General features: G+C 42.9%; 1 protein-coding gene across 8 annotated transcripts in view, besides 1 other annotated feature; it reads right to left on the bottom strand.

The window, feature by feature from the left end:
* SNTG2 (syntrophin gamma 2) overlaps positions 1-25,853 on the bottom strand; it is a 416,765-nt gene that overhangs the window by 73,910 nt on the left and 317,002 nt on the right. The window contains exon 15 of one of the 8 annotated variants that reach the window (XM_017004365.2): positions 14,754-15,019. The exons of 6 other annotated variants lie outside the window; for them this stretch is intronic. In XM_017004365.2, coding sequence (XP_016859854.1) covers positions 14,993-15,019 — 27 coding nt within the window. In that variant the 3' untranslated portion in view covers positions 14,754-14,992. Of the gene's footprint in view, positions 1-14,753; positions 15,020-24,354; positions 25,633-25,853 lie in introns of those variants that run through there. One more of the 8 variants, XM_017004366.2, reaches the window with a different exon arrangement.
* Positions 10,273-10,567: a silencer, noted in NCBI's record as "tiled region #1386; HepG2 Repressive non-DNase unmatched - State 10:DNaseD, and K562 Repressive non-DNase unmatched - State 20:ReprD". NCBI's record gives its function as "represses a minimal TATA promoter and a strong SV40 promoter by Sharpr-MPRA in HepG2 and K562 cells {active_cell/tissue: HepG2 | K562}" and the evidence as "EXISTENCE:reporter gene assay evidence [ECO:0000049][PMID:27701403]".

Genomic DNA, 25,853 nt, shown 5'->3' with positions numbered 1-25,853 from the left:
TTTTGAACTTATTGGAATGTAACTAGAAATCAACAGCAGAAGGAAAATGAAAATCAGCAAATATGTGCAACTTAAACAACCCATTCTTACACAACCAATGGGTCAAGGAAGAAATCACAAGGGAAGCTAGAAAATAACCTAAATAAAAAACACAACACACCAGAATTCACACAACACAGTAAAACTAGGGCCAAAAGGGAAACTTATAGCTAAAAATGCTTATATTAAAAAAAGAAAGATCTCAAATTGGCATCTTAACTTTTAACCTTAAGAAACTAGAAAAAAGAAAAACACGCTAAACGCAAATCTAGAAGAAGGAAGGAAATAATAAAGATTAAAGAAGAAATTTTTAAAAAGACAAAATAGAAAAACAATATAGAAAATCAATGGATGCAAAACTTGATTCTTCAAAAATATTTTTTAAAATGGCAATGCTTTATCTGTATTGACCAAATAAAACATAGAGAAGATTCAAATAGCTAAAATCAGAAATCAGAGAGGGGACATTTCTACTGACTTAACAAAAGTAAAAAAAAAAAAAAAAAAGTAACAGAGTACTACAAACAATTTTACACTAACAAATTGAATAACTTGGATTCAATGAAAAAATTCGTGTGACACACACAATTTATCAAAACTAAATCAAGAAGAAATAGAAAATGTGAACAAACTGTAGCTTGCAATGGGACTGAACCTATAATCAAAAACCTTAAAGCAAAGAAAAGCCAAGGGCCAGATAGTTTCGCTGGTGAATTCTACCAAACATTTAAAGAAGAATTAACACCAATCCTTCTCAAACACTTCTAAAAACCTGAAGAGAAGGATATACTTTCCCAGTCATTCTATGAGGTCAGTGTTACCTTGATACCAAACCCAGACAAGGATTCTACAGGAAAAGAAAACTGCAGACCAATATCCCCTATGAAGATTGATGCAAAAATCTCAACAAAATACTAGTAAACAAAATTCAACAGCACATTAAAAGCATTGTACAATGTAACAAAGTAAGATTTATCCCTGGAATGAAAGGATGGTTTGACATAGAAAAATCTATCAATGCAACATGCCATGTGAACAAAAGGAAGGAAAAAGAAAAATCTGTATCATCTTAATAGATGCAAAAAAGTAACTGGCAAAATTCAACACCCTTTTATGATATAAAACACCCAACAAACTAGAAATTGGGTGAAATATCTCAACATCATAAAGGCCTTATATAAAAGCCCACATTAACATCATACTCAATAGTGAAAGACTGAAAGCTTTTTCTTTAAGATCAGGAACAAGGCAAGGATGCCTACTGCTGCCAATTATATTCCACACAATACTAGACATCCGAGCTACAGCAACTGTGAAGAAAAACAAACAAGTCAACCAAATAGGAAAGAAAAAACAAAATTATCATTGTTCACAAGCAACACTTTCTTACATATAGAAAACCCTAAAGACAGAACAAAAAAAAATCTGTTAGAATGAATACACGAATTAAGCAAATCCTGCACAAAAAAGTTGCAGGATTCAAAATTAACACTCAAAAATCAGTTTTATTTCTATATGCTAACAACGAACAACCTGAAAAGGATATTGAGAAAACAATCTCATTTACAATAGCATCAAAAAGAATAAAATATATGGAATTAACTAAGCCAAGGAAGCAAAAAGACTTGTACATTGAAAACTACAAAACATTGATGACAAAAATTAAAGAACACACCATTGAAGAAAAGACATCTTGTGCTCATGGATTGTTAGACTTAATGATGTTCGGATGTCCATACCACTCAAAGCTATCTGCAAATTCAATGCAGTCATTATCAAAATCCCAAAGACCTTTTTCCAGAAATAGAAAAATCCATCTTAAAATTCCTATGGAATGTCAAGGACCTTGAATAGCCAAAACAATCTTAAAAACAAGTTGGAGATTTCACAATCCCTGATTTCAAAACTTACTGCAAAGCTACATTAATCAAAACAATGTTGCACTGGCATAAAGAAAGACATAGATCAATGGAACAGAACAGAGAGCGATGAAAGAAACCCTCACATAGGTGCTCAGATAATTCCTAACAAAGTTGTCAAGACCATTCAATGGAGAAAGGCCAGTCTTTTCAATAAATGGTGCTGGGAAAACTGGATATCCATTTGCAAAAATGAAGTGGAACCCTTATCTTACATCATATCCCAAAATTAAATCAAAACAGACCAAAACTCTAAATGTCACAGCTAAAATTGTAAAATTCTTGTGATTAAAAATAGGGGGAATACTGCATGACACTGGACTTGGCAATGATTTCTTGGATATGACACCAAAAACACAGGCAACCAAAAAAATAGACAAACAGAATAATACCAAAATTAAAACTTTTGTGTATCAGAGGACACCACCAAAGAGTGGAAATCCAACCCAGAGAATGTGAAAGTTTGTAAATCATATATCTATTAAGGGGTTGATGTCTAGAATACATAAGAACTCCTACAACTGAACCAGAAGAAAACAAGCAAACAACCCAATTAAAAGACGGGCAAAAGACCTGAATAGACATTACTCCAAGAAGATATATCAATGACCCATCAGCACGTGGAAAGATGCCAACATCACCAGTGATTAGAGAAACAAAAATCAAACCTCAGTGAGATGCCACCTCACACCTGCTAGGATGGCTACTATAAAATACAAACAAGCAAATACAACAGAAAATAACAAGTGATGATGAGGCTATGAAGAAATTAGAACCCTTGTGTACTATTGCTAGGAATGTAAAATTTTGTAATGTTATGGAAAACAGTACAGTAACTCCTTATAATTTAAAAATTGAACTGCCACATGATCCAACAATCCCACTTTTGTGTATACACCCAGAATAACTGAAAGCAGAGACATTACAAGATGATTTGTACACCCATTGATATGGTTTGGCTCTGTGTCCACACCAGAATCTGATGTATTGCATTTCCCACTGTTGGAGTTAAGGCCTGGTGGGTGACTGGATCATGGGGGTGGTTTCTAATGATTTAGCACCATCCTCCTAGTGCTGTCTTGTGATAGAGTTCTCATGAGATCTGGTTGTTTAAAGGTGTGCAGTACTTCTCAGCTGGGTGCAGTGGCTCACACCTGTAATCCCAGCACTTTGGGAGGCCAAGGTGGGTGGATTGCTTGGGTCAGGAGCTCAAGACCAGTCTGGACAACATGGCAAAACCCCGTCTCTACTAAAAATACATAAATTAGCTGGGTGTGGTGGTGCATGTCTATAATCCCAGCTACTCAGGAGGCTGAGGTAGAAGAATTGCTGGAACCTGGGAGCCGGAGGTTGCAGTAAGCCAAGATCATGCCACTTCACTCCAGATTGGGTGAGAGAGTGAAAGTTCATCTCAAAAAAAAAAAAAAAGGATGTAGAACTTCCCCTTCATGCTCCCTCTCTGTCCCTCTCCACCATGTGAAGACAGCTTTCTTCCCTTTTGCCTTCTGCCATGATTGTAAGTTTCCTGAGGTCTCCCCAACCATGCCTCCTGTACAGCCTGTGGAACTGTGAGTCAATTAAACCACTTTTCTTCATAAATAACCTAACCTCAGGTAGTTCTTTATAGCAATGTGAGAATGGACTAATACACCATTTTTATAGCAACATTATTCCCAGCAGCCCAAAGGTAGAAACAACTCAAGTGTCCATCAAAGGATGAACGGATAAACAAAATGTTATATCCATACAATGGAATATTACTCGCCTTTAGAAAGGAAGGAAATTCTGACATGCTACAACAGGGATGACCTTGAAAACATTATGCTAAGTTAAATAAGTCAGGCACAAACAGACGGACACTGCACGAGTCTGCTCATACGAAATATCTGCAGTCCTCAGATTCATAGAGACGGGGAGTGGAATAGTGGCTACCATGGGCTGGGGTTGGAGCACGGGGAGCTGGTGTTTAGTGGCAATGGAGCTTCGGCTTTGCAAGATGACAGGGTTCTGGTGATGGTGGTGACAGCTGAACACCACTGTGAATGTCCTCAATGACTGTGCACTGTATACTTTAAAGTGTTACGTTTTATGTGATGTATATTTCACCACATTTTTAAAATAAGGGTCCTACTCCAAACATGGCTACAGGTTTGAGTATGGCCCGTGACTATTTTCTGTGCAAATAGGCACGAGTTCACGCAAAGCAAACACGGATGTCAGTGTTTGCTAAGTGCTGCCTACAGTGCACAAAGTGTGCCATGGGCTTCCAGGGTACGATCTGCCAAGTGATAGACACAGAGCAGGTGGCAGGAGTGAGACGGAGGAAGGGGCAGTCAGAGAAATTGTGGAGAGACACATGCGGGCAGTGAGTAGACTGAGCAGGCTCCTGCTGAGTGCACGCAGCACCCAGTGCCCCAGGAAAGATGAGGGAAGGGCGGCGGCAGAAGGAGACATTTTGAAGGTGAGAACAGGACCCCAGTCACCTGGGGATGTGGGTCTGAGGTTCCAGAATGAGCTGCAGACAAGTAAAGATTGGCATCATTGCTAATTTGGAATATCTAAGGGTGTGATATTGATTAGGATCTCTGAAGATAATGCTAGTGGCAGGAAGTAAAGATGCTAGAGGTGATGCCAACACTTGAGTTTCAAGCCAAGCAGAGATGATGGCAGAGAGCAGAGGACAGCCGTGAGAAAATCAGAAAATGATCAAGATGATCGTGGAATAGAGGCTAATTAAGGAGCAGTAATCAACAATCTCAAAGGCCAAGGCTGAAAGGAATCAGGCGTAAGAGTAGACCAGAAATCTGAAGTCAGATTTGTGTGGCTGGGGATGACCTGCAAATGCAGGGGCTGGGGGAGATGGAAGAGTAGGCAGGGGAAAGGCTGCATGTGTGTGCATAGGTGTAAGTGTGTACACAAAAGTGGGTGTGGCATGAGCATGTGTGAATACATGCCTGCATGAATGTGCATGAGTGTGCATGTGTACATGTGTGTGAGGTGTGTCATGTTTACACACATTTTCCTTGGTCTGCATGTGTGTGGGCATACATATAAGTGCATATGCATAACTGTGAGGGTGCACAAAAATGTATGTATGTATCTTCATGTGTGTGCTGTGCCCATGTGTATGTATGCTTATGTATGTGTGTTCATGTATATGTGCATACCTGCATGCATGGGCCTGTGTGCACGTGAATGCATGTGTGTGTCATGTGTGCACATGTCCATGTATATGCCTCTGTGTGTGAATGCGTGGGTGTGGTGTGTTTGTAGCTTGTCGGTGAGCTTGGGAAGTGGACCATCTTGGAGGATAGCTGAGCACCATTAACTTAGTTAAATTTATGTTTTTGGCGATACAAATTTCTTCTTCAGACCTTCAGAGATTTACATGGTGTTTGCTGGATCTCAGACCTTGTGCCTGATGAAAAGTAGCAGAAATGAGACAACCAGAAACACATTGCTCTGAGTGGTCTAGATATGATGTCAGATCTGTGCACAGAGAATTGTCTGTTTTGTTCACTGTAGGTTCTCCAAGGCCTAGAACATAAGTGCCGCCCAAAAAACACTTGCTGAGTAAAAATAGCCAAGTTGGATGGCATTTACCATGTGCCAGGCACCATCTTAAGCTGTATAAATACCAATCACTCATAAATATCAAAACAACTCTAGGGGATTAATTCTATTATCCTATTTTCTAGAGAAGAAAACTGAGGCAAAGGACTTCTTAAAAACTTGTCCGAGGTTCCAGGTGGTCAGGATGGAAGCTGGGCTCGCCCCAGGTGCTCCACCCCGGGTCCAGGCTGTCCATCACGATGCTGTGTGGAATGCGTGAGTGAGGTGGTCATTCTCGGGTCTTAAAGTCAACAGCTGGGAAGGCTTCTCCTTCCATTAATGCAACCACAAAACCATGGATGGAAAAGGACGCATCTTATTTTCAAGTGGAAATGCTGCTTGGGCCCTTTTCATGACGGCAGACTCTTCAGCGGTGGCCAGAGGGTGAAAACAACAGGTCACGCTGTCAGCGCGTGAAGTTGTTCCTGTGGCCCCGGCCCTCCAATGAGAATGACGAGTGCTCGCTGTCTGGCGCATGCTATTCAGGGTTTCCTCGTTCAGCGTCACCATCAGGAGCACGTTCCGCCGTCACTCTGCCACCTGCACGGAGCACTCCGGGCCCCCTGCTGCTATTCTCCACCCCTGCTCAACCAGATGCAGCACCAAGCAATGTGTGGGCTGGGGCTCATTTCTCGAATAAAGGGGCATGTTCACAGTTCAGCTTCCCCATGAACAAGACACGTGGTGAACACGTTTAGAAACCAGTCAGAGCAGCACAGAGGTGAGGTGAGAAGGAAAGGCTGCCGGACTCACCCAGCCTCCAACTTCACTCGAGGTTGGCTCAGACAAAGGAGCACCCGCTGCATCCACAGAGGCCCTGGTGCCTCCTGTTGGACTATTTCTATTTCCAATTATCAGCTTTTCTCTAAAGAAATTAAATTGTTCAAAAGTTTTCACAATTTTTAAGTCTTTCCAACATTCCTTAAATGTGGATAACAATCACTCATTGTTTAGACAGAAGGAAGGAATGAAGAATGAGGGGCAGGTGACTCAGCTGTGACTCCTCGGCGGGAAAAGCACAGAGTGAGCAAAGATATTCTCCTCCCCAACCCAGAGTTCCTTCCAAACACGCCTGCCCTTCTGCAAGCTTTGTCTCTGAGCTGTGTGTCCACCTGGAGAACACACCTGGTCTCACCAGCCCCCTCATTCTGAAAGAGTGAAGAGCCTGCCGAGGAAGTGCACAGGAGCATGTCTGCCTCCTTCAGTGAGCAAGTCATGACAGCCACAGTGACACTCAGGTAACCTGTTGACGAATGTTCTTCAGAGCAAGTGTGATGGTTAATATTGAGTGTCAATTCGATTGGATTGAAGGATGCAAAGTGTTGATCCTGGGTGTGTCTGTGCAATCTGCTCACAGCAGAGACCAACACTGAGCCCTCAATATGGCACCATTCCTCGGGGTGATCTGCCAGCTCCCTGGTGGCAGGTTGATTATATTGGACCTCTTCCATCATGGAAAGGGCAGAGGTTTGTCCTCACTGGAATGGACACTTACTCTAAATATGGGTTTGCCTATCCTGCATGCAATGCTTCTGCCAAGACTACCATCCGTGGACTCACAGAATACCTTATCCACTGTCATGGTGTTCCACACAGCATTGCCTCTGACCAAGGCACTCACTTTATGGCTGAAAAAGTGTGGCAGTAGGCTCATGCTCATGGAATTCACTGGTCTTACCATGTTCCCCATCAGCTGGAAACAGCTGGATTGACAGAATGGTGGAATGGCCTTTTGAAGTCACAATGCCAACTAGGTGACAATACTTTGCAGGGAAGGGGCAAAGTTCTCCAGAAGACCATGTATGCTCTGAATCAGCATTTGATATATGGTACTGTTTTTCTCATAGCCAGGATTCACGGGTCCAAGAATCAAGGGGTGGAAGAGGAAGTGGCACCACTCACTATCACCCCTAGTGATCCCCTAGCAAAATTTCTGTTTCCAGTTCCCTCGACATTATGTTCTGCTGTCCTAGAGGTCTTAGTTCCAGAAGGAGGAACCCTGCCACCAGGAAACACAAGGACAATTCCATTAAACTGGAAGTTAAGATTGCCACCTGGACACTTTGGGCTTCTCCTAACTTTAAGTCAAGAGGCTAAGAGAGGAGTTACAGTGTTGGCTGGGGCGATTGACCTGGAGTATCAAGATGAAATCAGTCTACTACTCCACAACAGAGGTAAGGAAGAGTACGCAAGGAATGCAGGAGCTCCATTCAGGCATTTCTTGGTATTACCATGCCCTATGATTAAGGTCAATGGGAAACCACAACAGCCCAATCCAGGCAGGACTACAAATGGTCCAGACCCTTCAGGAATGAAGGTTTGGGTCTTTCCATCAGGAAAAAAAAACACGACCTGCTGAGGTGCTTGCTGAAGGCAAAAGGAGTACAGAATGGGTATTAGAAGAAGGAAGTCATTAATACCAGCTATGACCATGTGACCAGATGCAGAAATGGGGATTGTAATTGTCATGAGCATTTCCTCCTTCTTTTGTTAAAAACATACTTGTGCATGTATACACTTGTACTAAGAAAATATCTTCATTTTATTTCTTTTTCCTTTATCATGTGACATTAGATTTATTGCCTTCATGTCAGCATTTAAGTATTGTTAACTTTGTGTGATAGTATTTGGGTTGGGGATTGGTGCGTTTCCAGTCCTACCAAGGAAAGTTGTATTATGTTAGGTGTAATTATGACATGATTGTCTTTATTTGAAGATTATGTATAATCTCAGGAGATGTATATGGGTTCAAGTTGACAAGGGGTGGACTTATGGTGGTTAATACTGAGTGTCAACTTGATTGGATTGAAGGATGCAAAATATTGATCCTGAATGTTTCTATGAGGGTGTTGGCAAAGGAGATTAACATTTGAGTCAGTGGGCTGGGAAAGGCAGACCCACCCTTAATCTGGGTGGGCACCATCTAATCAGCTGCCAGCAAATATAAACCAGGCAGAAAAACATGAAAAGTCTAGATTGGCCTAGCCTCCCAGCCTACATCTTTCTCCTGTGCTGGATGCTTCCTGCCCTTGAACATGGGACTTCATGCTCTTCAGCTTTGGGACTCGGACTGGCTTCCTTGCTCCTCAGCTTGGGGATGGCCTACTGTGGGGTCTTGTGATCGTGTGAGTTAATAAACTCCCATATATACATATATATATTTATATAGTTATATTTATATTTATATAGAGTTGTAAAACTAATATGAGATAGATAGATAGATCTCCTATTGTGTCCCTGTAGAGAACCCTGACTAATACAGTAAGTATATGGTTTCCTACAACCTGACACACAGCCTATGTGCAATAAATGTTTGTCATTAATAAACAAAACTGAATATTTTAATTACAAACACAAATGTCTATTTTAGAAATATAATATGGTTCCAGTATTTAGAATTGGTGATTTAGTTGACGTCAGCTTTAACTTTCTACTTGTTTTGTATAAACATATGTTTAAGTGAAATTTTAAAAGATAAGGCCAATTTAATCTTGCCTTACTCAGAGAAAACATGACATCCTTTAGGGCCCCATATGCAAACTAAAAAAACAATTGGTTTGGCGTCTCCATCAAAGGAAAGTAGATGGTGAGAAATATATTCTCTTTTTGGGTGGTTTTGTAAGTTTTTCGAGGGGTGCTTGACTGTGATACGTTGGAGACTCTGGGGTTCCAAAGAAAAACAAGACAGAATCTCCCTGCCATCACCGAGCTCGCATCCCAGAAAAATGCTGGACTTGTGGTTCTCACACATTTCCAGGTTCAACTGGCTGCCGCCTTCCTATCAGCACCCGCCAGAATCTGAACAGCTAAAAGTTGGAGAGAGAGGGAACGTTACAATGTAAACAATTAATAAAAGCTAATTTGGCCATGCTCTTCCCAGGATGGAGGTGTTAACTGAAGGATTAGATTAGCCCTGAAATGAATGACGGAGCAGAAATAGAAACATTACCACCAGCGCTCTTAGTTCCAATCGAATTAAATTAAGCCATAATGGCTTTTGGAGAAATAAATTGCCAGCTGCAGCCCGCTCCCTACTCCAGCATCTTTCCGGGGGAGATTCACAGGAGCTCACAGGCACCAAGAGCAATACTCAGGATCATTCTTCACAACGGCAGGTCGGCGGCTCACTGCGGGGACTTTCAAATATCTACCGTGAGGTACTCAGTTTAAAGCTGTCAAACATAATTCCCAGCCACAGTGCAGCACCAATGTTCTAGCCCTGTTTCTCTCAGCAGCTCTATTTTATATTTGGATAGGTAAAGAAGACAGCGGGCTCTTTAACTGTTTATTCCCCAGGTAGTTATCCATGCCCAAGACTCGCTTTAATTCAGGAAAAGCCGCCTCCACAGTTGCTGAGCTTCTGCAGGAGCAGGATACGAATGACCGGGCATACCTACTGTGTGATGGTCCCGAGGACGTCCCATGCGAGAGGGAGGTCCACAGAGAACTGTGGAAGACACAGAGAAGCCAGGGCCACACACAGGCTGTGGTGAGGAGAGGGCATCCAGGCTGGGATGCAGGGTGTGGGACAGAAAGCCCCAGGGGCAGACAGGGTGAACGGTGTCCTGGACACAGTCGGTCCTCAGACAAGCCTGGCAGGTCTGGGAAGGAGGGGACTGTGGGCCCTGTCCAGGCAGCTCTGGATGCCCTGCAGGTGCACAGCAGCTCCGTTGACTAATTTGTAACTGGGCAGTGGACAAGAGACACCTTACAGCCAAGGGACTGTCAGTGCTGATGAGCACAAGGGCCACGGGGCTGAGAAGCCTCCATGTTGGCCAAAGGGAGGCAAAGGGGTGGGCACCCCGGTCCCAAGCAGCCGGATTGGCAGGGGTCTGGGTGTGCACGGGCCCAGCAGGGGTCAGGCCAAGAAGATTGGTGAGAGGTGACTTCGGAGGGTGACCACCAGCCTGGTGCAGGGATGCGGCTGAGGAGTTAGGGCGTGGGCGGCAGCAGTAGCAGGAGGCCACAGTTCACCTGCCTTTCCCGGAAGGAGCAGGCCACGGCGGCTTTGTCCATGGCTGCAGCCAGGCTCTGCAAACCCTGGAGAAGGAATTTTCCTTCTAGGTGTGGGCGGTGCATGGAAGACTGAAAATCCAGAGGCTGGGATCCTCTGAGCTTAGCTACTCACCTTCCGTGGCCACTTCTGTCTTGATATCTGTATTTTGTGCCTTTTGGCTATTTTTGATCTTAATTTAGAAAATAGATGTGCAGGTTCTCTGTAGCAAACGGCATCTGTGTGAGCAAAGGGAGCTCATCTGGCTTTCGTAGGCCGACGTGTTGGGACCATCAGGAAATGCCAGCGCTCTACTTATCGTATCAGTCAAAGCCACGAGACAGGGACTGAAGCAGGACTTGGAGAGCGCCCAGCTCACTGACGTGGGGGCGGGGGTGGGCGGGGGTGATCCTGGAGGGATGCACAGTGCGGGGGAGGCAGCCCTTGGAGAGCGCCCAGCTCACTGACGTGGGGGCGGGGGGAGTTCCCGGAGGGACGCGCTGTGCGGGGGAGGCGGCGTTATTGTGAGTGATGCTTGGCGGGACCTTGCAGATACTGCCTCTGGATTCCCCTGTTTGGTAGAATTTTGGGGATTATAATTAAAAAGCATCCAGCACAGATGCCACTCAGCCCAGCCTGAAGCTGGGCCTTCTGAATGTGTTGGGTGCATTTCTGACTTCCAAAGCATGCAGTAGCGTTTCTTTGATCAACGATGTTTTCAGCTGAAAGAATTTAGGTAAGTTTATGAATAATAAATGCAAAATAAATTCCAAAAGGAAGAAATTAACTTCATCTAAGGGCTCACAAGACAATGGTGGATATAGTATTTATATTGTGCTAGTAGTATGGAATGAAAATGGGCTTTTATATTTGGAGAAACTCGGCGGTGCACGTAAACTACTCCCCTACAAGTGCAATTCACTTCGCTGCGGAAGAGAATCCCACACTCACTCCAGGTGTCTGGAAAAAGAGCCACGGGAAGGACATTACTGTAGTCATACCAAAGCCAATAAGTAAGGTGGGCACACGTTTAAAACACATCCATATGATCTTAATATTTATTACGGTTTTGATAATGCAAAACTGACAGCTCCAGGCAGGCTATAAGGCTGGATGTTTATATGCAAGCCAGATTTTCAGAGTCAGGAGATTTTCCTATAGAAACAATGCCAGAAGTGGTAGCAAGGTCACAAGGCTCGGCCGTGAGCCCATCCACCTCCTCCCGGGCTTGAGGAGACACGGACGGGGGTGCAGTGGCTGATGCTGCCCGCCTCCCTCCACAGATGTGTGGGGTGCTTGTGCTGGGTGGGGCCAGTGTCCGCTTCCACAAATGTTCAGGCAGGGCAAGGGTCCCCTGTCTGTGAACTAAATCACCATTTCCAGTGCTGTCTCCTGAGGTGCAATTTGCTTTTTACTAAATGCAGAGGCTTGAGTGACAGGGAACATACCTTCACCTTCATCACAGCCATGGCTGGCAGCAAAGCAAGTGCCAGGTTAACAGGTACTCTGGGGACGTGTTCTGCTGTCCGGGACACGTGTCCTGCAATGTACACTGTGATAATGGATGCACACTTGTGCACACACACACCACATACACACACACCACACCAAACACACACACCACACAACACACCACATAAACACACACCACACACCATATACACCATAAACACCAAATACACAAGCACACACATACCACCACACACACACCACACCACACACACACACACAACACACCACATAAACACACACCACACACCACATACACCATAAACACCAAATACACAAGCACACACATACCACCACACACACACACCACACAAACACACACACCACACACCATATACACCATAAACACCAAATACACAAGCACACACATACCACCACACACACACCACACACCACACCACATAAACACAAACACACACACACCACACACCACATACACACACCACCACAGACCACAGAACACACACAGTTACCCAGCCTCCAAGACGGGAGAGTGAGTGTTGGTTTTATCCACTCATGAATTCCCAGTTTCAAGACCCTTCAGCATTTATCACACTCACCCCTAAGACACTTGACCCCGCGACAAGCACAACTGAATAAAAAACTACTTGGAGTAAAGTGGGCACCGATGTTAGATAAGGGCCAGTAGGCCTTTCCCATGAGCCTGAATAGCTAGCTACGTGTCCACGTGCACAGCAGCAGCATATAACTTCATTTGTGAATATCTGAGTTTGAATATGCAAACTAGTAATTATCGGATTTGACAAACTTTATATAAAGTTTCTATAATTACACAATACACTTATTAAAAGCAAAGCACTAGCAGTAGAATAATAGGCATCAGTTAGATACTTTCAGAAAGTTTGTAAATGAATGCATTCAATAACTTTAATATGAGGTCACTTGTGAATTTATTGTAATTCGTAATTTGCTTCAGTGGCTGAGAATACACTACAGAGAGGATTTAAGCGAATGAATAACAATTTTAAGGAAAAGCTGAATTTTAACATAAATTTGGATGAGGCTCCAAAATGGTGAGGAGTCCCAGGAGCCTCTGACCTTGGTGCTTCTCCTGAGAGGAGCTGGAGAAGCTCAAAAGGAATCAAGTGGGTCCCCCCAAGGCCAGTCCCTTCCCAGGCCATTTGTGCAACTGTTGTGTATTTAAGGAAAACGAAACATTTAAGAGTCATCAACAGAAGCCACACAATTATCTTGGTGGTTTTAACTTAAAATAAAGCTGGCTGCTGAACCAGCTCTGAAAGAGATGAGGTAAATTAGAATTGTGATAAGGTTCATGTACATAATGAAGACAATCTAAAACTTAATTGTGTAATTAAACTGGAGGTTCTGGTAACAAATAATTGTCTTTTAATGACCCCATAAATCTACTCTAATCTAATGTTATTCAATATTTCACCTGACTTTCTCTTAGGTTCTCTTGATTTTTTTCAGGAGAAACAAAAATACATTTGTAGTATTATTCTATATCATATTTCAAACTCATTAACAATAGTGGTTTTTTAAATAATTCAAAAAAGATTTTTTTGAAAATTTATCTAGAAAATTAATTTAAGCTTGTAAGAAAATTATGTTTTGCATATTTCCATGTGAAGTGCTTTATAAACATCAATTAATTAAGTTTTATAATATCACGCAAAGATACAGTAATCATGTTAGAAATAAGTACACCAATTCTTAGGAAGGTTCAGTGACTTATTCAAAACGATCTTCCCAGCCACTTATGAATTTTAAAAAGGCAGCATGTGCATCAGTCTCTCTCATATACAATGTATCTAGCTATGGTGCTCAGAAAAGACTTTGCTTCGCAGCTGGATGTTAACTGCAATGCCCAGAAATAGCGGTCCTGGAATCCTGAGAGGGTCACCCTGGGTTAGGTGGATGCCTGACTGACCGCTGGAGAAAAGCACCTACTCCAGCCAACTTCCCATCTGAAAACATCGCAAAAAGCACGCAGCACATCAGAGATGCGGTACAGATATAGCAAATGAAAGAAAACTTTTCTGGTTACAAAAAAACAGCACAAACCACATGAAAAATGATATAAGCAATAGCCTTCAGAAAGACCAAAACAGCCCCCACACAAAACCTTAATTCCTGTACGGGAGCCCCCGCTCCTCCAAGGAGGTTACATTCCGAGACCCTTAGGGAATGGCTGAAAGCATGGAGGTAAGGAACCCTATCTGTGCTCTATACGATGTTTCTTCCTACATACATGCATACCTGCAATAAAGTTTAACTTGTGAATTAGGTGCAGTAAGAGATTAGTAATAGAAATGAATAATAAAACAATTATTACTGTATACCAGCATCACTGCTCTTGCACTTCAGTAGCCCTTATGTGACATGACTACATCCGATAAGAGTGACTTGAATACAAGCACTGCAACGCTGTAAGAGTCAATCTGATCAAAGAGACCGTTGCTAAGTGACTACTGGGTGGTGTGCAGCCTGGATGCACTGACAGAGGGGTGATTCGCGCACTGACGGGTGATTCGCGCGCTGACAGGGGTGATTCGCGCACTGACAGAGGGGTCATTCGCGCACTGACAGAGGGGTGAATCGCGCACTGACAGGGGGTGATTCACGCACAGACAGCGGTTATTCACGCACTGACAGAGGGGTGATTCGCGCGCTGACAGGGTGTTATGCACTGACAGGGGTGATTCGCGCACTGACAGGGGTGATTCGCGTCCCGGGGGGATGCAGCAGGGTGGCACGAGATTCATCACAGTACTCAGAATGATGTGCAATTTAAAACTTAGGAATTATTCATTTATGGAATTTTTCACTTAATATCTTTGGACCACGTTTGACCACGGGTAACTGAAACCTCAGAAAGCAAAACAGAATTGAAAGGAGACTACTGTATGTCACACTTACATAAACAGGCTTTACATCTTCACTTGGGTTTTCTTTGCTCTTCGTTCTGACAAAAGAGAAAGAAGCATTGGTATTTCTTTTCTTGACTACCACTGCACTAGAAATGGCCATGAAGTCTGCAGGGAGGCCTACTACAGGAAGCAGCAAGAAAAACAGAATTGAGGCTTGTAAGATGCGTAAGGAATCTAAAATTTTTTTAAATAAAAGAACTTAGCAGATGGTCAGGTAACAACATACCTCACTAGCACCTCCTGTCCTCCATAAACAATAGCATGGTGCAGTAACTGACATGGTCAGGTAACAGCAGACCTCACTAGCACCTGGTGCCCTCCATAAACAGCAACCTGGTGCAGTAACTGATATGGTCAGATAACAACATACGTCATTAGCACCTCGTACCCTCCATAAACAGCAACCTGGTGCGGTAACTGACATGGTCAGGTAACAACACACCTCACTAACACCTTCTGCCCTCCATAAACAATATGTTGCATTAACTGACATGGCCAGTTACTTGATTGAGTTGTCCCAAAATGAGGTTACTTGTGTACTGTGATTAAGCAGGTGAAGTGCATGTTATACCGTGAAACTTATTCACCAAAAAGTAGTTCCAGATTTGCTTGGAACCGAAAGAGATGTCCCAGTTATAAGAAAATTTTACCGATTAACTGATGACATTTGATAAATGAAATAATCACCATTTTAGTAATGTGGTGAAGTTAATACTTGCCACGAAGTGTCAGAGAGAATGCTACTCATTGGAAAACCAGAAAAGCGTTATCTTCCCCGCCTTTCCAGAGAGGATGGAAACCCCACTGACATGGAGACCCTGGAGTGGGGCCGGACACTTCCGGTGGGATCTCCATGGAGCTTGTCTATGAGGCTGTGCCCCTGCTGCCCTCTGAGGAGCCACTGGGCTGTCTTCCCTCCTCCCCTGCATAGCCCTGCACAAAAACCTCCTGCAGGTGCCCAGCTTGCATGTCACCAGCTGCCTCTTCCCTGGCATCACGTGGAAAAGCCTGACTCCCTGCTATGGTTTGGATGTGGTTTATCCCAACCAAAACTCATGTTGAAATTCACAGGCTGACTTTGGAGATAGCATAGGTTTGGTTCTAGACCACTGCAATAAAGCAAATGTCACAATAAAGCAAAAAGTCTTACTAATTTTTTGGTTTCTGGGTGCATATAAAAATTGGGCTTACACTATACTGTAATCTATGAAGTATGCAAAGCATTATGTCTAAGAAGTAATATACACACCTTAATTTAAACATACTTTATTGTTAAAATAACCTAGTGGTCATCTGAGCCTTCAGTGAGTCTTCCTCTTTTAGCAGAGGGAGGACCTTGCCTGGATGTTGATGGCTGCTGACTGATGCGGATGGTGGCTGCTGAAGGTTGGAGCGGCTGTGGTAGTTTCTTAAGATAAGACAACAATGAAGTCTGCCTCATCGATTTACTCTTCTTTTCATGAAAACTTTCTCTGTAGCATGTGATGCTGTTTGATAGAATTTTATCCATGGTAGAACTTCTTTCAAAATTGAAGCTAATTCTCTCAAACCCTGCTGCTACTTTATCAGCTAACTTTATGGAATATTCTAAATGTTTTTTATCATTTCAGCAATATTAATACAATCTTTACCAGGAGTAGATTCCATCTCAAGAAACCACTTTCTTTGCTTATCCATAAGAGTAACTCCTCATCTGTTCTAAGTTTATCCTGAGATTGCAGCAATTCAATCATCTTCAGCCTTCACTTTTATTTTTGTCCTCTTGCTATTTCTATCAATTTGCAGTGACTTCCTCCACTGAAGTCTTGAATCCCTCAAAGTCATTCATGAGGTTTGGAATCAGCTTCTTCCAAACTCCTGCTAATGTTGATACTCTGATGTCCTCCCATGAGTCACAAATGTTTCTAATGAAATCTAGGGTGGTGAATCCTTTCCAGGTTTTCAGTTTACTTGCTCATCAGAGGGTTCACTATCTATGGCAGCTATAACCTTATGAGATGTATTTCTTAAATAATAAAACTCGACAGTCAAAATTAGTCCTTGACTTGTGACCTGTAGAGTGGATGTTGTATTATCAGGCATGAAAACAACATTAATCTTGGACATCTCCACAAGAGCTCCTGAGTGACCAATTGCATTGTCAATGAGTTGTAATATTTTGAAAGGAATCTTTTTTTCTGAGCAGTAGGTCTCAACAGTGGGCTTAAAATATTTACTAAACCATGCTGTCAACAGATGTGCTGTCATCCAGGCTTTGTGGTTTTATTTATAGAGCACAGGCAGAGTAGATTTAGCATCATTCTTTAGGGCCCTAGTCTTTTCAGAATGGTAAATGAAGCTTCACTTCAACTTAAAGTCTCCATATACATTGGACCCTAATAAGAGAGTCAGCCTGTCCTTTGGTGCTTTGAAGTCAGGCAATGACGTTTGTCCAGCTCAGAAATTCCTAGATGGCATCTTCTTCCAATAGAATGCTGTTTCGTCTACATGGAAAATCTATTGTTTAGTGTAGCCTCCTTTATCAGTGTTGTTAGCTGGATCTTCTGGAGAACTTGCTGCAGCTTCTTGATCAGCACTTGCTGCTTCACTTTGCACTTCAGTGTTTTGGAGACAGATTCTTTCCTTAAACTTCATGAACCCACCTCTGCTAGCTTCCAGTTTTTCTTCTGCAGCTTCCTCCCTTCTCTAAGCCTTCATAGAATTGAAGAGAGCTAGGGCCTTGTTCTGGATTAGGCTTTGGCTTAAAGGAGTATTGTGGCTGGTTTGTTCTTATTCAGCACGTTGATCTTGTTCAGAACTTTCTTCGTAGCAGCAGTATGGCTGTTTTGCTTTCTTATTATTCATGAGTTCACTGGAGTAGCACTTTTAATTTCCTTCAAGAGCTTTTCCTTTACATTCACAATTTGGCTATTTGGCACAAGAAGGTTTTGACCTGTCCTGGCTTTTGACATGTGTTCCTCACAAAGCTTAATCATTTCTAGCTTTTGATTTAAAGTGAGAGACATGTGACTCTTCCTTTCATTTGAACACTTCAAGGCCATTCCAGGGTTGTTAACTGGCCTAATATCAATACTGTTATGTCTCGTGGAATGAGGAGGCCCAGGGAGAGGAAGAGAGATGAGAAAACGACTGGTCAGTGGAGCAATCAGAACACACATAGCAGTGACTGATTAAGTTTGTCATGTTATATGAGCAACACTGGTGGTGCCTGAAACCAATTACAACAGTAACAACAAAAACTGAACACATATCACGGTGACAGATATAGTGATAATGAAAACATTGGAAATACTGCAAGAATTCCCACAATGTGACAGAGACATGGAGACATGACAGAGCACAGACTGCTGGAAAAATGGCAGTGATAGATTTGCTTACTGCAGGGTTTCCTTAAATCTTCAATTAAAAATAAATAATAAAAAGAGTATCTTCAGAGCTTAACAAAGCAAAGCACAATAAAACAAGCTGAGTCTGTAGTTGCCGAGGTAAGGATGTTGGGAGGTGGAGCCTTTAAGAGGTGGGGACTAATGCAGGGCATTTGGGTCATGATGGCTCCGCCCTGGTGGGTGGCTTGCTGCCATTCTCTAGGTAGTGAGAGAGTTCTCCCTCTCTGGAGACTGGATGAGATTTTTCAGGAATGAATTAGTTTTTACAAGGATAGGCTGTCGTAAAGCCAGGACACACTTCATATTTGGCCCCTTTGCACATGTCGGCTTCCTCTTTGATCTACTGCATGTTAGGACTCAGCAGGAAAGCTCTGGTCAGAAGCCAGTGCCATGCACTTGAACTTCCCAGCCTGCAGAACTATGAGCTAAATAAGCCCTTTTTCCTTTATAAATTACCTAGCCTCAGCTATTCTGTTACAGCAACACTAAATAAACTAAGACTCTCCCACTGAGCCTTTGTGCAGGGGCCCAGCAGCCAGGCCGATTCCCCTTCCATCTACCTTGGCACACATTACCACACCAGTGACAAATGTGAATGTGCAATGGTCATGCTCCTACAACAAAATCCAGGCAGAAACGTCCTGATCGAGGGCAGAATGGTGAGTTCTTAGAACAAAATCCAGGGCAGAATCATCCTGATCGAGGGCAGAATGGTGAGTTCTTAGAACAAAATCCAGGGCAGAATCATCCTGATCGAGGGTGGAAGGGTAAGTTCTTAGGTGTGACACCAAAAACACAATCCGTGAAAGAAAAACTCAATGAAGTGGACCTCATTAAAATTAAACTATTGCTCTGGAAATTAGACAGAATGTACTCTTGTTGCTTGGAGAGTGTTCCACATCATTGCATATGCCAATAATTCATTCTTTCTGTTGATGAATTCCACTCCTTTATATAGATACACACACATTTTTGATAGATTCCTACATCAGTGACCATTTGGGCTGTTTTTAGTTATTGTTGTTTACAAATGAAGCTGTTATGAGCATTTTTGCATACACCAGGGTAACGAGAAAGTTTCTGGATCTTGTGGCGAATTTGTCTTTACATTTAAGACACTGTCAAGCTGGGTGTGCCATTTTCCACAGCCACCAACAGTGAATGAGAGTTCCAGTTCCTTCACCAACACTTGGCATCATCAGTCTTTTAAAATTTACTCATTCTAATATGTGTGCTGTGAGATTTCACTGTTTTAATTTGCACTTCCCTACATGCTAATGATTTGGAGCATATTTCAACCTACCTATTTCCCATCTAGAAATCTTTTTTGAAGTGTTTATTCAAGCCTTTTCCCAAATTTCTTATTGTTTTTCTAATCATTGAGCTTTGAGATCTTTTTATGCATTACATATAGAAGTCCTTTGCCAGTTATATGCCTTGCAAATATTTTCTCCCAGTTTTCATATCTTCTCTTCATTATATTAGCAGTGTTTTTCAAATAATAGTTGCTTTTAATTGCAAGTCTAAATTATCAATTTTTTTTCATGGTTTGTGCTTCTGGTTTTGTATCTGAGAAATATTTGCATAACCAGAGGTCACAAAGACTTTATGCTGTTTATTCTTCTAAAAGTTTTATAGTTTTGTACTTATATTTCATTCTATATTCATTTTGAGTTTATACTTATATATATATATATAATATTTATGTATATAATGAGTCAAAGTTCTTTTTTTCGTATATAGGCATCCAATTATCCCAGCATAATTTGTCCAGAAGGCTTTCCTTTCTCCACTGAATTGCCTTTGCACATCTGCCATACACAGAATCTCTTTTTGGCTGTGCTTGTCTTGATAGTACGGTAGGAGTGGTAAAGGCATTAATGAATCACAGAGCCACCTTGATTTGCTTAAAATTCTGTTGCACCTGATATCAAGCAACTACTAATACCAGAATATTAACCTGTGTGTGAACAAGAATAGTCTTTGGGGAGTCTTTATAAACAAAAAGGAGAAATTATCAGAAAAATTTCTGAAACTTGGAAACAGGCAGAAGAGATTGGTGTTCTGTGAGAGCAGCTCAGACCAGAGAGCAAACCTAAGTCCAGAAATGGAGCAGGAGGGAAAGACGGGCCCATTAGGGAGAATGCTCCTACCAAGGGAGCTGTGTGGAAGGATGACAGCTTGGTTTGCCTCAGTGAGGTCCCGTTCCCCGAGGCGGGCAGGCAGGGGCGTGCTCGTCAGGACTTGGCAGTGGAAAATCCACGGAGCACCGTGCGTGACCGGCTCCTCTAACAGGAGACCCACTGCGCGGTGATGGTGATGGTGCGCATCCGTATAGCACACACAGACCTAGGAAAATTTCATAAACGTGATCTCGTGAAACTGTCTTGCAAAGGAGAAAGCTGAATTTGATGAGAATGCTTTTTGTTCAGGCACCGCAGGAGACACTGTTGTCCTCCAGTTCTGCACCTTCTCCGTGGGATGTCCTTTCTACACCTCTTCCCTGGGATGCCCTTTCTGCACCCGCTCCCTGGGGTGTCCTTTCTGCACCCGCTCCCTGGGGTGTCCTTTCTGCACCCGCTCCCTGGGGTGTCCTTTCTGCACCCGCTCCCTGGGGTGTCCTTTCTGCACCCGCTCCCTGGGGTGTCCTTTCTACACCCGCTCCCTGGGATGTCCTTTCTACACTTTTTCCCTGGGGTGTCCTTTCTACACCTGTTCCCTGGGGTGTCCTTTCTACACCTGCTCCCTGGGATATCCTTTCTACACCTGTTCCCTGGGGTGTCCTTTCTGTACCTGTTTCCTGGGATGTCCTTTCTACACCTGCTCCTGGGATGTCCTAACAGAATCCTTTTTTTTTTTTTTTTTTTTTTACCAGTACCAGTCTGTGGCCTGTTAGGAACTGGGCCTCACAGCAGGAGCTGGGTTAGTGAGCATTACCACCTGACCTCTGCCTCCTGTCAGATGAGCAGAAGTATTAGATTCTCACAGGAGCGGGAACCCTATTGTGAACTGCACCTGTGAGGGATCTCGGTGGCACACTCCTTATGAGAACCTAATGCCTGAGGATCTTTCACTGTCTCCCATCCCCCCAGATGGGACCGTCTAGTTGCAGGAACACAAACTCAGGGACCTCACTGATTCTGCATTATGGCGGGTTGTATAATTATTTCATTACAGATTGCAATGTAATAATAATAGAAATAAAGTGCACAATAAATGTAATGTGCTTGAATCATCCCCAAACCATCCCCCTGGCCCTGTCCGTGGAAAAACTGTCATTCACAAAACCGGTCCCTGGCACCATAAAGGTTGGGACCGTTGCTGACTTCATTTCCAGTCCCCAGGGTGGATGTTGGTTCACAGAAGCCAATCATCCAATAGCGTTCCCTTGACGAGAAGCCAATCAGCCAATGGTGTTTCCTTGACGAGAAGCCAATCAGCCAATGGCATTCCCTTGATGAGAAGCCAATTAGCCAATGGTGTTCCCTTGATGAGAAGCCAATCAGCCAATGGCATTCCCTAGACGAGTACTTTGGTCTGATGGGCTCATGACCTAGGCTGGCACAGCTAGGCTGAAGGGGACATCCTCAATGGGTTATGGAGGCCATTTTCTGCCTCCCCTGAACACCGACATGAATGCTTGTTGCTTCCACAAGCATCTTATGACTGGGAGGGGAGCCACACCGAGGCACAATCTAGACCTCAAAACTCAGCAAGGTGGAGTATGGAAACCTTGTTATGGAAAATAATAGCAACAATAGGTATTGTTTATTGTTGGGTGAGTCAAGAACTTTCTCTTACTTGTAGCCAAAGGCATCCTATCTGATAGATATTTTATACTTTGTGTTTTTGTGTTGCTATTAGGAAAGATATACATTTTTAATTTTAAATTCTAACAGGACATTGCAATGTCCTGTTAGAATTTAAATAAATTGACATACAAATTTAGATAAATTGACATGAAAATGTACAAAAGTCTTGTAAATTGCAGAACAACATGCATATGTGATGACTTTTCAATAAAAAGGAAAAAATATACTTGAGTATGTGTAAAAACAGTTTGAAGATTATATAACATAATATTGGCATTTGTACCTCAGCTTGGGAGGCAGGGATGGAGAGGCTGGAACATGGAAGGTCTGTTATTCTCTTATGCATGTGTGTGACACTGAATTCTGGATAACTTGGAACGATATTTGTAATGTAGATATTATTTAAGAGAGTAATAATGTTGATAAGGCAGTCAAGGACTTGCATGAAGCTACTATCCTGATGATGGAGAACTTTTCTGTAAAATGTACTGACCTCACATAGGTGCATTCAGAAACGACTGTGAAGGAATGTCATCAGTTTAGATCCAGAGCCTGTGAAGGATGCAGGGCTTTCCTTTCAGAAATCCTTTTAGAGAAGGAATGAACACGCTAATCACTGCTGGAAAAGTGTTACAATTAGTAAAGAAAAATCAGTGCTATCAACACTATACACATGTAATTATTCTGGAGATTTAAAATTGCAAGTCGGGTTGGAATACGATCAAAGTCAGGAAATAGTAGAAAAAACTAGCAAAACAAGCAAAACAGAGACAGAAGGTGGAGAAAAGAAATCCAGCAGTGCTACTGAATCAAGAAGAACACATTTACGGAGAGTTTGAAGTATGCCGGGGACTGTTCTAGGCACCTTCTCACTATTTTGTTTCTGTCACATGTGAGGCTGAATGTTTCAGCAGAAAGAACGTGACTCTCAAGACAGCAATTCTTGAAATCTTGCGTAGATCCTGCCATTGTGGTTTAGTCTCTAGGTGACTGTGGAGAAGTAACATAGCCCTTCTGAACTTTCATTTACCATTTGTAAAATAAAAGGGAAAAGAAAAGAACAACTGCATCTTAGATGTATTAAAAAAGTTAAATGATGTACGTGCAATGCATCCAGCCTAGTATAGAGTATTAGGCGTTTGACTTAATTCATTTACAGATATTACTAAATGTAATATAATTTTATAAGTACTCCATGATGAGTTATAATAATTTACAGTTTATGTAATGGAGTTTTGGAGAAGTATTTTCTCTAATTCATGAAGAGGGAGTGAGTCCATCTAATTTTGAAATGCTTTGTCCCTCCCAGGACACCATGGGCAGATCTGATAGGAGTCAGGTCACTACCTGGGGTGGAGCTCAGGAAATGCCTGCAGGGTGGGTTCCTGAAACACAGGTCCTGAGTGAGGCGTAAATTGGGAATTCAATGCCCTGAGAGGTCTTGCATGACCTTGCCACCCTGCACAAGGAAGCATCCACCCGGGGCTTCTTTGAGGGCATCCACTTTGCTGAGTTGTGAAGATCCGGCAAGTCAGTCATGGGCAGCATGGCACGGCCCCAGAAGTTCTTCCCAACAGTGGTCATCACGGCCCCCACAGCCCCACTCTACCCAGTCCTGCAGAAACGTGGATGGATGCCCACACCCACTTACAGTCTCTGCAGGTGTGCCGGCTTGTTAACACCCTCATTGCCTCCATTCCCCACGAAAGGTCTTCATTATCTCAATCCTGGATTATTGAAAATGTTTCCTCTAAAATTCACCTGGGCACATTGCTGCCTGCTGAGTCCTAGCCTGAATCTTAGATCTTTCATTCTGCCAAATGGAGCATTAGCCTAATTTTTCAATGCTTCCCACTGGGAATGCCTTCTCTTCTCCACCTGTGCAAGACACCAACGATTTTTAAAAGAGACTAACCACTTCCTCTAGGAAAGATGTCCTGACCATTAAAGTCCAACCCCAGCTCTGACCCCACTCCCACCCTACCCTATACCTTTTTTTTTGAGACAGGGTCTCACTCTGTGGCCCAGGCTGGAGTGCAGTGGTGCCATCATAGCTCACTGCAGCCTCAAACTCTTGGACCTAAGAGATCCTCCCCACTCAGCCTTCTGAGTAGCTGGAACTACAGGCATCAGCTACCATGCCTGGCTAATATTTTATTATTATTTTTTGCAGAGATGGGGCTTCTAGGTTTCTTGGGCTTGGTTGCCTGGGCTGGTCTCTAATTCTGAGGCTCAAGGGATCCTCTTTTCTTAGCCTCCAGAAGGGCTAGGATTACAGGCATGAACCACCGTGCGCAGACTTCACCCCCTTTAGTGGAATAAGGACAGTACGAAACATAAGGAAGGACTATTCATAAAGAAATTCTATTTTTTAGGAATCCTAAATAAACTTTCACCCTCTAGAATGCTTCAGACATTCATTTCACTACATCTGGGTACTAGATGAAATTACTAACCTTTCACCCTCCCTCCAACACTGTAATTCTATGATTGCTCTTATTCAGGATATCTTCTCCTGTAACCTGTCACCTTCCCATAGATGAGTCTGAATGGCCACCGGGACTCTGCTCAGCCAGGCATGGGCCCTGGGGCACTAGAGGGTGTGGGGCAGCCCTGCACACACACGCGAATGGAGAATTCTCTCTACTTCTCCGGTATTTATGTTGAAAGCAAAATGATTACTGCTATCATCTAAAGAAAACAAGCAGAAAGGTCACCTTGTCCCAGAAACGCTCTTTCACTTTGCCTTTTAACGACTTGAACCTTTAGTGCTGATGGTTTCTAAGTGGCTAAATGCCACTATACATTTGAGTAAGTCCCTGAGATGAAGGATCCTATGTTTAGTAATTTTCTTTCCAGCATGTAATGTTCTATAATGGTTAATGAATTGGATGCTTCAAATATAAAGGTTACTTTAAGCATCAGGAATCAACCATAATTCCAATTTAGGGTGCCCAATTTGAGGGGAAAATCACAGCAGCCTGGGATAAATGAGAATAAACATTGGCATCAGTTTCTATGAAGATCTGGGTGTGACTTCATTCTGTGGACTAAGAGATCTCAGTGTGCATTAGTTACAGGGAAGCTTCGTGCTCTGTGATGGCATGCCAAGGAGCCTGGATACATTTTGACAACGTGAATGAAAGATAAATAACACAGAATAGTTTCACATTCAAGGTATATATGTATATTTAAATGAAGTAGCCATCTTTAGTTACTAAGTTCACACTCAGCATTCTCCGCGCTCAGCCAGGCGGGAGCCCTGGACTTTGGTGTGAAGTCAGAGCTCCTCTGGGATGCGCTGCCTCATTTATCTCCTGTCACTCTTCATTCCTGCAGCACACATCCTCCCTGAAGGATCATCCCGCTATTTAGGATAAGGAGGATTATAATGCATTCTTCCTCATCCCTTCACATGGTATACATTCAAATTTGTGAGTGATGTATTTGCTGTTGTCAGGAAGAGAAAAGCAATTCAGACACACAAGCTGTTTTATATTCTCCTTCGGACCATCAAGTTTGAGAGGAAGAACCATTAAAGTGCCTTAAAATATTACAAACATCCAAGTAACTGCACGACACATTATACTCATTTGTAAGCTAGGTGTTCTGTCTCCCGGAGCACAGGCTAGAAGTGTCATCACTTCTCAGGAACTTGAGCGCCACATCGG

This window comes from Homo sapiens, chromosome 2, assembly GCF_000001405.40.
Source record: "Homo sapiens chromosome 2, GRCh38.p14 Primary Assembly".
Classification (NCBI taxonomy): Eukaryota; Metazoa; Chordata; class Mammalia; order Primates; family Hominidae; genus Homo; species Homo sapiens.
Note: the sequence above shows the minus strand (reverse complement) of the source record. Positions and strands in the feature narration are given on the sequence as shown.